Consider the following 14656-nt stretch of genomic DNA (forward strand, 5'->3'; position numbering starts at 1 on the left):
ATGAGGCCTGGGACCATGGTCATGGACTGTGCCCAGCACAGCACTGGGCATGTGAGGGACGCAGGTGGATGGTGAGTGTGTACCCCTGCTGAGCCAGCTCCCACCACGGGTGCTGTGCACTCCCCTGTGCAGGTGCATCCTCAGGGACTGGGAGAGAGACAGGTGAGAGTGGCCACAAAATAATCTGACATCGTGATCCTGTCTTGGGCTCACAATGTGCACCAGGCGCCTAACCCTGGCCTACATTTACAGAGCTCCTGGGCCATTGAGAAGAACTAGGTCCAAGCTTTGTAGGCATGGAGAGAATGGGGATAGAGAATGGTTGGAAAAGGTTCATCTGGGATGGCCTGCTGGAGGGGGCGAGCTTTAAGCTAGATTTTGACTATGAGACAACAGAGCTCAGGAATGTGAGGTGGGGGGACCCTATAGATGGAAGTTCACACCACCTGGCCTGGTCTGAACCTAGATCCTCCCCAGCCATCTGCCCTCTGACAGGGCCTACAACCCCTGTGCCGTGGTCTGGCCTGGTTTACCTCACCAGCCCACAGGGCTCCTGCCTTCGGGTTTAGCCTGATGTCTACTGCTGGGCCTAGAGTCCCAGGAATACACTGATAATCCCCACACCAGCAAACATAGGGACAGCTGAGGTGTGGGCTTGGGAGAGCCATATCTCTAGGACTTCTCCCCGTAAGAAGGGTCTACAGTTGGCCGTGGAAGGCAGGTGGGAGGTAACGGAGGCCTCGGGAGGCCAGGAGTCAGCAAGGCCACCTCTGGTCTCCGAGTCAGGCTGACCACTGGGTGAGGCTGCCAGAGCTCTACCCAGTATGTGTCAGAGAAGCTTCAGGCCGCTGAGGATAGAGCTGGTCCCCAGGTGGAGCTCTGCAGCCAGTCTTTGGGCTTGCTGGGCATTCCAGGTCCTGTGAAGGCCCTCGGGAGTGGTGACCTTCCCCAGGCACAGCTTGGGTTTTGGCTCTGGGTGCCTCTCTGCAAACCCATCTAACCAAGGGCTGCCTGCCTCTTCCCAAGCTAGCGTGTCTGAGGGTGCTACCTCCTGCTCATCTTTTGATTCTCACTCAGACTTCACCTACTCCAGGAAGCCTTCCTTGACCTCTGACCTCCCTGGGACTGGATTGGGCTCCCTCTTGTGTGCTCCCACAGCAACCATCACTCTGAACTGTGATTGCTGGTTACTAATCTGTCTTGAGCACCACCGTATCCCTCCCTGTGCCTGGTAATGAGCCTGACACTTAGTAGTTGCTCAGTAAATTGTGATGGATGGATGATGAGTGAGTAGATGAAGGAAGGTATAGTGAACACAAATACGGGCTCTGGAGCCTTACTGAGTGTGAACTTGATGGATTCCTAAAGCTCTCGGTGTCTCAGTTTCCTAATCCAATAGAATGGGGATGTTAATAGTCCTTATCTAACGGGAAGACTGGTGATCATCAAATGAGCCAAAAGACGTGAAGGGCTGAGAATAATAACCCCTGACACCTAACAAGACCTTGGTGAATGTTGCTTCTTATTAACAATTATAGGAGAAAGGGAAATGCGGGGTCAGGCCTGGTGCAAGGAACATGCTGGCTGGGAAGTGGGTGGGGAGCTCCGCTGGGCCCCAGCTCTGACCCTCTCCCCACTCCATTTCCTGCACAGATGAGCAACAAGCGTTCCAACAGCTTCCGCCAAGCCATCCTGCAGGGCAACCGCAGGCTAAGCAGCAAGGCCCTGCTGGAGGAGAAGGGGCTGAGCCTCTCGCAGCGACTTATCCGCCATGTGGCCTATGAGACCCTGCCCCGGGAAATTGACCGCAAGTGGTACTATGACAGCTACACCTGCTGCCCCCCACCCTGGTTCATGATCACAGTCACGCTGCTGGAGGCAAGGACAAGGGTGGGGAGGGGGTTGCTCTGCCTTGGGGAGTGGCGGGTATGGGGAGAGGAGCCAAGAGGATGACACACAGATCATGGGGGAAGAGGGACATTTCTTTTCCATTGAAGGGCAATGGTTGAGGATCAAATAATAGTTGTATTGCAAATCAGACTCTGTTGCGGTGCATACCAGTGTTGTAACCGTGGACTGCAAAGAGATATTCCAAAGATTATTACTTCAAACAATACTTACTGCAGCCAAATCCCCGTAGGACCACTACCCCCCACCCACCCCAAAACAACAGCAATAAAAACAATGTCATAAGTTCATTGACTTGGGAGATCTAGCCAGGCTAACTCATTAAAGCCAGTTTATTTAGTTCCTCCCTAGGTGGGTAATGTGGACCAGTCATTTGCTCCTTTTTCCCGCCTGAAAATCAGAAATAACCAGACCTGCCTTCCCTCTCCCAGGACACCTTTATTTAAAGTGAGAGAATGGCTACTGGTGCTTTCTGAACACAAAAGCATCACACAAACACATCTGGGAGGGAGTGTGAACAGGTAAATATGGGCTTAACATTTTTAAAGAACATTCTCCCCTTAGGGAATCCTCTGTGCCTATTGTTATGCTAAATTCTACTGCTTATGCAACAGAATCCAAAGGTACCCCTTGCTGCGTTGGTGCCCATGTGTGATAAAACTCAATTCTTTTGGGTCCTCCACTCAACAACCTGTGCAGCCCACCCCAGCTGCAGCTCCTGAATGGATGCTTGGCTTCACTTTGGGATTTTATGATCTCCGCTGTTTCTCTTCCAAAGCCACGGGCCTAATTACCGCCTCTGCATATGTTCTTGTAAAGTTCCTGCCTAATCAAAAGCTTCGCGGCATCCTTCTTTTCTTCTAAGTCAGAATATCTGGTCTGCAGGCCAGCATTCCCCTGTTTGTTGTTATGGCTTCATCCAAGTACATGTTGAAGTTGCGATTTTTCTGAGATATTCTTGGACTCGTTCTTCAAGCGCTTACTGTGCTGGTCTATTTATTAACTTCTGTTTGAGGCCCAATAATAACGAGATGCCTTGGAAGCAGGATTTGCTACCAGGCCACCCTCATGGTATTAGGTGGACAGAACGGCTCCTCAGAGAGCCCAGGAGAATACAGCTACCAGGGGCCTAAGCCATTCCCAGGCTGAGCCCAGAAGATTTTAACCCAACACGAATTATAGCTTCCTTCTCTAAGTGTGTGCCGGGCAGGGGGCTGGCTCTTTGTGTATAGTTTATCACTTTTAAACCTCCTGGCCACTCTGGAAGTCTAGGTATCGGTACCCATTTCCAGATAAAGAAACTGAGGGCCAGAGAATTCAGTTTGCCCAGGTTGATCAAGAGGAGCAATTTTGTGTCCAGATTGGTTCAGATGAACCTCAGCTATGTAAACCCGAACCACCAATCTAGAAGAAACTGGGAAGTGATCAAATAGCTGAAATAACGATCTCGAAGCCCTGGGGCTACAATGCCCAAGGCTTTTGTCTTCTATACAGTTCTGGTAACCTGGCTTTCGGATTTCATAATGAATAGAAAATAGGAGGGACATGGTGTAAAGCAACAAAGGGGTCCACTACCAGCAAGCAATAAGAAACAGCAGCCGACAGCCTGGCAGTGAAGGAAGTGACAAAAGAAAAGTTTAAAGCAGACCTGAATCTTAAAGAAATAAAAGAATTGGCTGAGTGCAGTGGTTCACACCTGTAATGCCAGCACTTTGGGAGGTCAGGGTGGGAGGATCTCTTGAGCCCAGGAATTCAAGATGAGTCTGGACAAAAAAGTGAGACTGTCTCTACAAAATATCAAAAAATTAGCCAGGCATGGTGGTACATGCCTGTGGTCCTAGCTACGTGGGAGGCTGTGGCAAGAGGATCGCTTCAGCCCAGGAGGTCAAGGCTGTAGTGAGCTGTGTCCATGCCACATCACTCCAGCCTGAGTGACAGAGCGAGACCCTGTCTCAAGAAAAAAAAAAAAAAAAAAGGAAAAGAAATACAAGAATTTGGGGGATTGGCCGGACGTGGTGGCTCACACCTGTAATCCCAGCACTTTCAAAGGCCGAGGTGGGCGGATCACTTGAGGTTAGGAATTTAAGACCAGCCTGGCCAACATGGTGAAACCCTGTCTCTACTAAAAATATAAAAATTAGCCAGGCATGGTGGTGGGTGCCTGTAATCCCAGCTACTGGGGAGGCTGAGGCAGGAGAATTGCTTGAACCCGGGAGGCGGAGGTTGCAGTGAGCCAAGATCGTGCCACTGCACTCCAGCCTGGGCGACAGAGCAAGACTCCGTCTCAAAAAAGAAAAAAAGAAAAAAAAAAAAGAATTTAGGACCTTGAGTGTATGAGCAAAAACACTATCCTGGCCGGGCACAGTGGCTCACGCCTGTAATTCCAGCACCTTGGGAGGCCGAGGCGGGTGGGTCATTGAGGTCAGGATTTCAAGACCAGCCTGGGCAACGTGGTAAAACCCCGTCTCTACTAAAAATACAAAAATTAGTCGTGTATCATGGTGGGTGCCTGTAATCCCAGCTACTCAGGAGGCTGAGACATGAGACTTGCCTGAACTCAGGAGGCAGAGGTTGCAGTGAGCCGAGACTGTGCCACTGCACTCCAGCCTGGGTGACAGAACAAGACTCTTATTTCAAAACAAAAACAAACAAAAAATGTCATCTTCCTGGGGTTGCTGGAGAAACAAATCACTCTTATAGCCCAGATCAATACCTGAGATATTCCTTTTTTTTTTTTTTTTTTTAGACAGAGTCTCCCTCTGTCACCCAGGCTGGAATGCCGTGGCGCAATCTTGGCTCACTGCAACCTCCGCCGGCTGGGTTCAAGCAATTCTCCTGCCTCAGCCTCCTGAGTAGCTGGGGTTACAGGTGCCTGCCACCACGCCCGGCTAATTTTCATATTTTTAGTAGAGACGGGGTTTCACCACATTGGTCAGTCTGGTCTCAAACTCCTGACCTTGTGATCTGCCCGCCTCGGCCTCCCAAAGTGCTGGGATTACAGGCGTGAGCCACTGTGCCCAGCCCATACCTGAGATATTCTTAAACAGTTATGCATATGCCCTGATTAAGAACACAGGGACGTAAATGATACATTTTAGAAGGAGTCCCAGAAAAAAAAAAGAGTTAAATACCCTTTTAGAGATTAAACAAGTATGCTTCAGTCACGTTTGCAAAATCAACTTCTGTGGAATGTTGGTGAGAATGTGGAGAAATTGGAGCCCTTGTGCACTGTTGGTGGGAAAGTAAAATGGTGCAGCTGCTATGGAAAACAGTCTGGCGTTGCCTCAAAAAATTAAACATAGAATTACCATATGATCCAGCAATTCCACTTCTGAATATATCCCAAAAGAATTGAAAGGGACTGGAAGAGATATTGATACACCCATATTCATAATAGCATTATTCACAATAGTCAAAAGGTAGAAGCAACCCAAGTGTCCATCGGTAGATGAATGGAGAAACAAAATGTGGTCTGTGTTTATAGTGGAGGGCTCACGCTGGTAATACCAGCACTTTGTGAGGCTGAAGAAGGTGGATCACCTGAGGTCGGGAGTTCGAGATAGCCTGGTTAACATGGTGAAATGCTGTCTCTACTAAAAATACAAAAATTAGCTGGGCATGGTGGCACACGTCTAATCCCAGCTACTTGGGAGGCTGAGGCAGGAGAATTGCTTGAACCTGGGAGGTAGAGTTTGCAGTGAGCTGAGATCACGCCACTGCACTCCAGCCTGGGCGACAGAGCGAGACTCCACCTCAAAAAAAAAAAAAAAAAAAAAGGAAGGGAAGGCTGGGTGCAGTGGCTCATGCCTATAATCTCAGCACTTGAGGAGGCAGGAAGATCGCTTGAGCCCAGGAGTTCAAGACCAGCCAGGAGGTAGAAGTTGCAAGCTGAGACTGCCCCACTGCATTCTAGCCAGGGCAACAGAGTGAGATCCTGTCTCAAAAAAAAGGGGGATCATTCTGACACATGCTACACAACATGGATGAACCTTGAAAATATTATACCAAGTGAAATAAGCCAGACACAAAAAGACAAATACTGTATGATTCCACTTATATGAGGTAGCTAGAGTAGTCAAATTCATGGAGATAGAAAGTAGAATGGTGGTTGCCAGGGGCTGGAGGGAGGGGGTGGGGCGTCATTGTTCAGTGGGTACAGAGTTTCAGTTTTGCAAATGAAGAGTTCTGTGGATGGATAGTAGTGATGGTAGCGCAGCAACATGAATGTCATTTAATGCCACTGAACTGATTAAGGCCGGGCGCAGTGGCTCATGCCTGTAATCCCAGCACTTTGGGAGGCCGAGGTGGGCAGGTCACATGAGGTTAGGAGTTCTAAACTGGCCTGGCCAACATGGTGAAACCCCATCTCTACTAAAAATTCAAAAATCAGCCAGGTGTGGTGGTGCACTCCTGTAATCCCAGATACTTGGGAGGCTGAGGTAGGATAATCGCTTGAACCCGGGAGGCGGAGGTTGCAGTGAGCCAAGACTATCATTGCACTCCAGCCTGGACGACAGAGCAAGACCCTGTCTCAAAAAAAAAAAAACCCAAAAAACTGATTAAGATGGTAAATTTTATGTTTATTTCACTATAGTTATTTAAGAAATCAAGCTATGTGGAATTCGTCATCTCCCAAGTGGGTGCGTGAGTTATTACTGGAATTAAAGTTCAAAATCCTCCAAATCCTTTCTGCTTAGCACGGAGGAAGTGTGGACAAAGAGACCCCAGGACCATGTTGCGGCCATTTGACACAAAATAAGCAAACAGAAGTGGGTGAGGGGTGGTTAAAAGCTCAGCTGAGACAGGCACAGTGGCTCACGCCTGTAATTGTAGCACTTTGGGAGGCCAAGGCGGGTGGATCACCTGAGGTCAGGAGTTCAAGACCAGCTTGACCAACATGGAGAAACCCAGTCTCTACTAAAAAATACAAAATTAGCCAGGCGTGGTGGCACATGCCTGTAATCCCAGCTACTCAGGAGGCTGAGGCAGGAGAATCGCTTGAACCCAGGAGGTGGAGGTTGCCGTGAACCGAGATTGTGCCATTGCACTCCAGCCTGGACAACAAGAGCGAAACTCCATCTCAAAAAAAAAAAAAAAAACTCAGTTGGGCCCTGGCTGTGGGGTATCCCTCTTTCTCTGAGAAGGAAAGGTGATAACTTCCTGTAGGGACTCCCAGTGCTAGTCAGCACAACAGGAAGTTTCCTGGGCAGTGTGCACCTAGTAACAGACTCTCTCTCTTCTGTCCAGGTTGCCTTTTTCCTCTACAATGGGGTGTCACTAGGTCAATTTGTACTGCAGGTAACTCATCCACGTTACTTGAAGAACTCCCTGGTTTACCACCCACAGCTGCGAGCACAGGTTTGGCGCTACCTGACATACATCTTCATGCATGCAGGGTGAGTACCTGTCTTCTTTTGCTCTGTCAAAAGACCCTACAGAAAAATAAGTGGTCAAGATAGCCTGGATTGAAATATAGTTTTTAGTTTATTTTTATCTATTTGGACATAGGATTTGGGATGGCTGCTTGAAACTCATTTAATACCAAAATATACAAGTAAATTATTGAGAGTGAATGGGAAAGGGGAAAATATATAAGAAGGAAAATGCTAAAAGCCAGCAGTGAGAACAGCACACACATACACAGCATTTGATTCTATGTACTTGCTAGACGTGGCTTGAAAATTTATTCTAGTGCTTCCTAGTGGCTTCCTAGAGCTTTTGCTTTGGCCACTAGAGCAAAAAGGGAGTCAAGCCACCAGATTTATTGTCCATAACTGTGTGTGAGTGCCTCCCAGTGTGGTCTCCATATATAGAGAGGGTCTTCTTGAGGAACTCTGACGATAATTATAGTTTCTGTTTATAGAACCCTGTAGCCTGTTTTGGGGCTGCAGCACAATCGGTTCTCACTGGTGCCTCCCACTTCATGATAAGGGCCTACCAGCTGGCCAGGTGACCACCCAGGTCCATATCCCTTGAAGAGCAGTCTGGAGGCTTTTATATGGTAGAAGCACTTTGATGGGAGAGGAGAGACCCCAGACACCAGGCCTCTGTGGTGTCTTCTCTTCTGTAGCCTCTCCAGAGAAGTGAAGGAGCTCACAGTTAGCCTGGGGAAAACCGTGGGGGTGCCTGGCCCTGGAGTGGGAACTGGGAAGGGGGTCACTCTGGCCCCAATGACGCCATAATTCCCATTGCTCAGCAGAAAGACCCACAATGGCCAAGAGGGAGTTGTCCCATGAGCCTCCCTTCCCCTTAGCCTCTAAAGCAGGTGCAAGAGCTAATCCCAAATTGGCTGCACCTGCGGGGGAGGGTGCTTTCGGGTGAAGAGACCTGAATGAACGCCTCTGCTCAGGCCAAAGAGGACCATTGGTACATGCTGCTTACCTTGTCTGGCTTGCCCCAGGCTTCGATCTTACAGGGCTAAGGAGCAGCGGGATGGCTGTCATGCTTCACTCACATCCACTCATGAGCCAGGGGTGACAACAGACACGGGGGCTTCCCTGCCCAGGCATCCCAAGCCAGTGGCTGCACGTGGGTTGGGACTGTCTGCCTTCTTTCCAGGACTGCCCCCTGACCTCTCTTGGTGCCTCAGGGTGAGGAAGGAGAATAGCCAAAGCCTCCTTGCTCCATCCTCTGCCTCCTGGAGCCAAAAGCAGTGAGCTGAGGGCATCTGAGCCCTGTCCCAGGAGCTTCCCAGGGGATGTCAGCTCAATTTAAATGAGACAGTGGGTGTTAAAGTGCTGTATAAAGTTGGAAGCACCTGATTGATTTAGTAATAGTCATGTTACAGTCTTTTCTGGTCACATGCACACAGCTAGATGCCCCACAATTTTAGCAGCAAGATGTAGTCACAGGTAGTATAGGGAGGAAGGTGTTCACAGGGTCAGAAAACCTGGGGTCCAGCCGGGCGCGGTGGCTCACGCCTGTAATCCCAGCACTTTGGGGGGCCAAGGCAGGCGGATCACGAGGTCAGGAGATCAAGACCATCCTGGCTAACATGGTGAAACCCCGTCTCTACTGAAAAATACAAAAAAATTAGCCAGGCCTGGTGGCAGGCGCCTGTAGTCCCACCTACTCGGGAGGCTGAGGCAGGAGAATGGCATGAACCCAGGAGGCAGAGCTTGCAGTGAGCCGAGATCACACCACCGCATGGATGGTGTGAGAGAGACTGCCTGGATGACAGAAAGAGACTCCATCTCAAAAAAAAAAAAAAAAGAAAAAAGAAAAAAAACAGAAAACCTGGGATCCCATATCCTAGTCCTGAGGGTTTTGGAGCAGAATAGGTCTCTTTTTTTTTTTTTTTTTTTTTTGAGATGGAGTCTCGTTGTGTCACCCAGGCTGGAGTGCAGTGGCGCGATCTTGGCTCACTGCAGCCACCACCTCCTGGGTTCAAGCGATTCTCCTTCCTCAGCCCCCTGAGTAGCTGGGACTACAGGTGCATGCCACCACTCCCAGCTTATTTTTGTATTTTTAGTAGAGATAGGGTTTCACCATATTGGCCAGGTTGGTCTTGAACTCCTGACGTTGTGATCCGCCCACCTCAGCCTCCCAAAGTGCCAGGATTACAGGCTTGAGCCACCGCACCTGGCCTAGATCTCTTCTTATACCAGTAAAGAGAAACCTCTCTTATGAGACTTTAAGGGAAAGCTTTGAATTATTAAGTTATAAGATGTATATTTAATGCCTGCACTTGTTTTGAGAACATATTTTTCTTTAAACACCCGTAGCTCTTTTTTATTTTATTTTATTTTATTTTATTTTATTTTATTTTATTTTATTTTATTTTTTGAGAAGGAATCTCGCTCTTTTGCCCAGGCTGGAGTGCAATGGTGCGATCTCGGCTCACTGCAACCTCCACCTCCCAGGTTCAAGCTATTCTCCTGCCTCAGCTTCCCGAGTAGCTGGGATTACAGGCACCTGCCAGCCTCAGCTTCTCTAGTAGCTGGGAGTACAGGCACCTGCCACCATGCCTAATTTTCATATTTTTAGTAAAGACGGGGTTTCACCACGCTGGCCAGGCTGGTCTCGAACTCCTGACCTCAGGTGATCCACCTGTCTGGGCCTCCTGCAGTGCTAGGATTACAGGCATGAGCCACCACGCCTGGCTAACATCCATAGCTCTTACAAATAGAGCCAGAACATGGCCAGGCGCAGTGGCTCATGCCTGTAATCCCAAAACTTTGGGAGGCCGAGGCGAGTGGATCACTTGAGGTCAGGAGTTCGAGACCAGCCTGCCTAACATGGTGAAACCCCATCTCTACTAAAAATACAAAAATTAGCCGGGCATGGTGGCCTGTAATCCCAACTACTTGGGAGGCTGAGACAGGAGAATCGCTTGAACCCAGGAGGCAGAGGTTGCAGTGAGCTGAGATCATGCCACTGCATTCCAGCCTAGTTGACAGAGCAACACTCCATCTCAAAAAACAAAACAAAACAAAAACAAACAAACAAAAAACAAAGAGAGCCAGAATGACCACATGGCCCAGTGAATGGAGCAGGTCAGGCAGATTGGAGACCTGAACTGTTGTGTCAGCGTGGCCACTAACTGTGGCTGGTCACTATCTCTGAACCTTGGTTTTTCACATGTTAACTGATGGAGTTGCTGGATCTTTTTTTTTTTTTTTTTTTTTTTTTTTTTCAGAGATGGTATCTCACTATGTTGCCTAGGCTGATCTTGAACTCCTGGGTTCAAGTGGTCCTCCCACCCTGGCCTCTCAAAGTGTTGGGCTTACAGGTGTGGGCCACTGCGCCCAGCCTAGTTGCTGGATCTTGACTGTGGTTAGTCTGTCTCACTGTGCCAAGTGAAATGCTGCCAGTCACGCCCAGGCCTTGCACATCTGTTCCTGTCCCATCTGGAAGGAACACTCTTTCCAAGATGGTCTGTCTGAATTGTCATTCCTTCCCCTAGACCATGAGCTCCTCGCAGGCAGAGGTGGTCTTGTTCATTGCTGGATCCCTGGCATCTTGGGGGATGCAGGTGTTTGTTGAATGAATGAATGAATGAATGAATGAATAGATGAATGAGTGAGTGTGGTCTCTCTGTCACAGGATAGAACACCTGGGACTCAATGTGGTGCTGCAGCTGCTGGTGGGGGTGCCCCTGGAGATGGTGCATGGAGCCACCCGAATTGGGCTTGTCTACGTGGCCGGTGTTGTGGCAGGTAGGCAGGTAGGCCCCGTGTCCACAAAGGCACACTGCCCCAGGGTGGGGTGGGAGACCCTGTGGGGCGGGGCAAGCCCCAGGTTTCCAGGACACACAGAAGATCCTCATCTCCAAGGCTCCTGACTTAACCAGGCTGTCCTCCAGGCACACCCACCTCCCTATGAGGCTGGAGAACGGACTGCTGCCCATAGAGGGAGGTGTGTGGCAGGACGGGGGAGGAGAGCACTGGATTTGGGACAGGCTGGACAACCGACTCTCGGTCTCACACCACCATGTGGTAGCTCTCTGAGCTTGGGGAAATTTCCTAACCTCTTTTGGCCATGTTAAGCTTTAAGAGGGAACTAATGAGATCTGCCTGTAGGGTTGCCAGGAGGGCAGAGTGAGTGAGGCAACAGATGGAACAACAGTGCTCCGAAAACTGCAAGGGCACAGTGAGATCCCCACAGGGGAATCAAAGGGGTGAGTGGAGCCAGGTACCACCCTGGCCACGTAGCACCTGTCCCCAAAAAGAGAGCTGGCTGCTACCCAGACCAACCGCAGTCCCCTTGCCTGACCCACTGCTGACAGGGAGTCTGACCTAAGAGGCAGTGAGCCCTGGCTCCATCTGAAGGCATCTGGGCCTCCAGCTGAGTGGGCACACGTGTGGCCAGTGATCATCCTTCATGGATAGTGGCCAGAGTGACTCCCAGTGAGCCTTCCACCTTCTGCCCCCTCCCCAGTGGGAGGTGAGGTGGGTGAAGTTAGCTGGGGAGAGCACGGATTTCTGCAGGAAGCGTCTGCCAGCCAGGCCTCTGAACATGAGGATCTCCCTCGTGATGTCTCCAACTTTATTGCCGGCTGTTTTTTTTTTTTTTTTTAACAAGGTTTGCCGCCTCAGCTCTTCAGCTTGACAGCTGTGCCCAAGGGAGCTTTGTGTGTATGTTTAAGTAAGATCTTAATCCTTTCTGAGTGGTATTAAAGTTGTCATCAGGAGAGCCGGGCAGCGTCAGCCTTGTAAACAACAGGCAGGCAGGGACCCTGGGAGTAACTGAAGTGGTTTCAGAAATCAAAGAGGAAGGGTCCCACCCCACCCACACGAGGCTGGTCTGCTAGTGCATGAACCCTTGGCCTGGGAGATTCACCCTGCACCATCTCCTTTGCTCCTGTATGCGCTGAGGTTAAAATCGTTGGCCACCTTGGTCAGCACCCCTGCAAGCCCCTCCCAGAATCCAAGGCTCACCACGTCCTTGAATAAAGGGCTAATGAGCATCTCTAAGTGCCAGACTTGTTCAGCCACCCACACACCCCCTAATCCTGACATCTGAGGATTGATAGCCTCATTTTCCATACCTCAATACCCAGAGACCCAGATGTTAAATAGCAAGGAACAGGGAAGACATTAATAACATTTGCAGTTAGTATTCAATTAGATGGGAATGCCAATAACCTAGAAGACAAAAATAAGATTCAAATGGACTCAGACCTCACCCAAACCAGGTGACATGCAGTGGGGAGACAGAGTAGGTGTCACCTCCCCAGTGACACCAGTGCAGAGTGGGAAGATTCAAACAGAAGCAGAGCTCATCACCTGAATGTGAGCATGTAGGGCTGTATCATTGAGCACATGGCGTGCACTGTTCTGTCTGAGTCAGTGATTAAGACCAGAGGGCACTCTGGTCACCACACATGTCATTGATCTCCATGATTGAGTTGATTGATCTGTCTCTGCTGTCTACCCTTTCCTGTCCTCCCAAGCTTTCCTCTGAGAGGTGAGCCGGTTTACAGCCAGCCAGCCCTAGATTGGACGGGTGGCACTTATCAGTGCCTACCATATGCAGGCCGTAATTCATCCACACAGCAACGCTACGAGGTGGGCACTGCTGCTCTCCCCCAGCACAGATATGGAAACCAAGGCTTAGATGGCTAAGTGGCTCGCCCAAGAAGACACAGCTAGAAAGTGGTGGAGCTGGGCAGGGTCTGACCCCCAAGGCTGTGATCTCAACCACTATAATAGTATGACGAGAACCAAAAGGTGGTCCTTGTCCTTTTTGCAGTTAATTTATTGTCAGAAACCAAGGCAGACCAGGTGCAGTAGCTCACACCTGTAATCCCAATACTTTGGGAGGTCAAGGCAGGAAGATCGCTTGAGCCCAAGAGTTCCAGGCCAAGCTGAGCAACATAGGGAGACCCTGTCTCTACAAAAAGTTTTTTAAAAATTAGCTGGGCATGGTGGTGTAGGCCTGTAGTCCCACCAGCTACTTGGGAGGCTGATGCAGGAGGATCGCTTGAGCCCAGAAGTGCAAGGCTGCAGTGAGCTGTGATAACACCACTGCACTCCAGCCTGGGTGACAGAGCAAGAACCTGTCTCAAAAAAGAAAAAAAGAAAAAAACCAAAGGAGACCTTAATAGATGTCTGGCAGCCTTACTCTCTAATTCCTTCCCAGTGAAAGTGTTTCCAATCCACACTTTGTAATGAGGATAGCTAACCTCTATGGGGCATATACATGCTCCAGGCATATGATGAGGGGTTTGCGGATGATCGTGGATGCTATGCTCATCACTGCTGTCCTATATGGTGGGTACTACCACTCCCATTTTACAGGCAGCCCAGGGAGGTGAAATGACTTGCAGATTTGCTTACCTGAAAAGTACTAGAACTAGGGAGGAGCCCTTCCCAAGCCCTGTGCTTCTTTCCTTTTTTTTTTTTGATTTTGAGACGGAGTCTCACTGTGTCACCCAGGCTGGAGTGCAGTGGCATGATCTCGGCTCACTGCAACCTCCGCCTCTTGCGTTCAAGCAATTCTCTGCCTCAGCCTCCTGAATAGCTGGGATTGCAGGTGCCCACCACCGCGCCCGGCTAATTTTTTTGTATTTTTAGTAGAGACGGGGTTTCACCGTCTTGGCCAGGTTAGTATTGAACTCCTGACCTCATGATCCACCCGCCTTGGCCTCCCAAAGTGCTGGGATTACAGGCGTGAGCCACTGCGCCTGGCAGCCCCCTGTGCTTCTTTCTAACCAATGCTTGAGGCCAATGTGAAAATCACTTATGGCTAGCAATTATATGGCACACAATGTAGGTATTTTAAAAACCAGTATCTTGGGCCGGGCAAAGTGGCTCACTCCTGTAATCCCAGCACTTTGGGAGGCTGAGGTGAGGGGATTGCTTGTGGCCAGAAGTCAAGACCAGCCTGGGCAACATAGTGAGACCCCCATCTCTACCAAAAAAAAAAAAATCAATATCACCAATCTTATATTATAGATTATATAGATTACTAACCACGTGTGCATCCCCAGGGCCTAGCACAGGGCTTGGCACATGTTAGGCAATAAATATTTATAGAATAAAGGAAAGTTGGCGGGCATGGTGGCTCACACCTGTAATCCCAGCACTTTGGGAGGCCGAGGCGAGCAGATCACATGAGATGGGGAGTTTGAGACCAGCCTGGCCAACATGGTGAAACCCTGTCTCTACTGAAAATACAAAAATTAGCTGGGCATGATGGCAGCCACCTGTAATCCCAGCTACTCAGGAAGCTGAGGCAGGAGAATTGCTTGAACCCAGGAGGCGGTGGTTGCAGTGAGCAGAAATCTCATCATTGCACCCCAGCC

At 49.6% G+C, this 14656-nt stretch overlaps 1 protein-coding gene across 15 annotated transcripts in view, besides 2 other annotated features; it reads left to right on the forward strand.

Moving 5' to 3' along the window:
* RHBDL3 (rhomboid like 3) overlaps window positions 1-14656 on the forward strand; it is a 58830-nt gene that overhangs the window by 21307 nt on the left and 22867 nt on the right. For 10 of the 15 annotated variants that reach the window (XM_047435507.1, XM_017024275.2, XM_017024273.2 and 7 more), the window contains 3 exons: window positions 1654-1878; window positions 7156-7304; window positions 10954-11066. In XM_047435507.1, the coding sequence (XP_047291463.1) occupies window positions 1654-1878; window positions 7156-7304; window positions 10954-11066 (487 nt within the window). Of the gene's footprint in view, window positions 1-1077; window positions 1232-1653; window positions 1879-1936; window positions 2430-7155; window positions 7305-10953; window positions 11075-14656 lie in introns of those variants that run through there. The other 5 variants (NM_001363836.1, XM_017024277.2, XM_017024278.2 and 2 more) reach the window with 4 other exon arrangements.
* Window positions 2198-2845: an enhancer, noted in NCBI's record as "OCT4-NANOG-H3K27ac-H3K4me1 hESC enhancer chr17:30616355-30617002 (GRCh37/hg19 assembly coordinates)". NCBI's record gives its function as "activates a minimal SCP1, AML or CMV promoter by ChIP-STARR-seq in naive H9 embryonic stem cells {active_cell/tissue: H9 hESC(naive)}" and the evidence as "EXISTENCE:reporter gene assay evidence [ECO:0000049][PMID:30033119]".
* Window positions 11240-11870: an enhancer, noted in NCBI's record as "H3K4me1 hESC enhancer chr17:30625397-30626027 (GRCh37/hg19 assembly coordinates)". NCBI's record gives its function as "activates a minimal SCP1, AML or CMV promoter by ChIP-STARR-seq in primed H9 embryonic stem cells {active_cell/tissue: H9 hESC(primed)}" and the evidence as "EXISTENCE:reporter gene assay evidence [ECO:0000049][PMID:30033119]".

The sequence above is a fragment of the Homo sapiens genome, chromosome 17 (assembly GCF_000001405.40).
Source record: "Homo sapiens chromosome 17, GRCh38.p14 Primary Assembly".
NCBI classification, from domain to species: domain Eukaryota; kingdom Metazoa; phylum Chordata; class Mammalia; order Primates; family Hominidae; genus Homo; species Homo sapiens.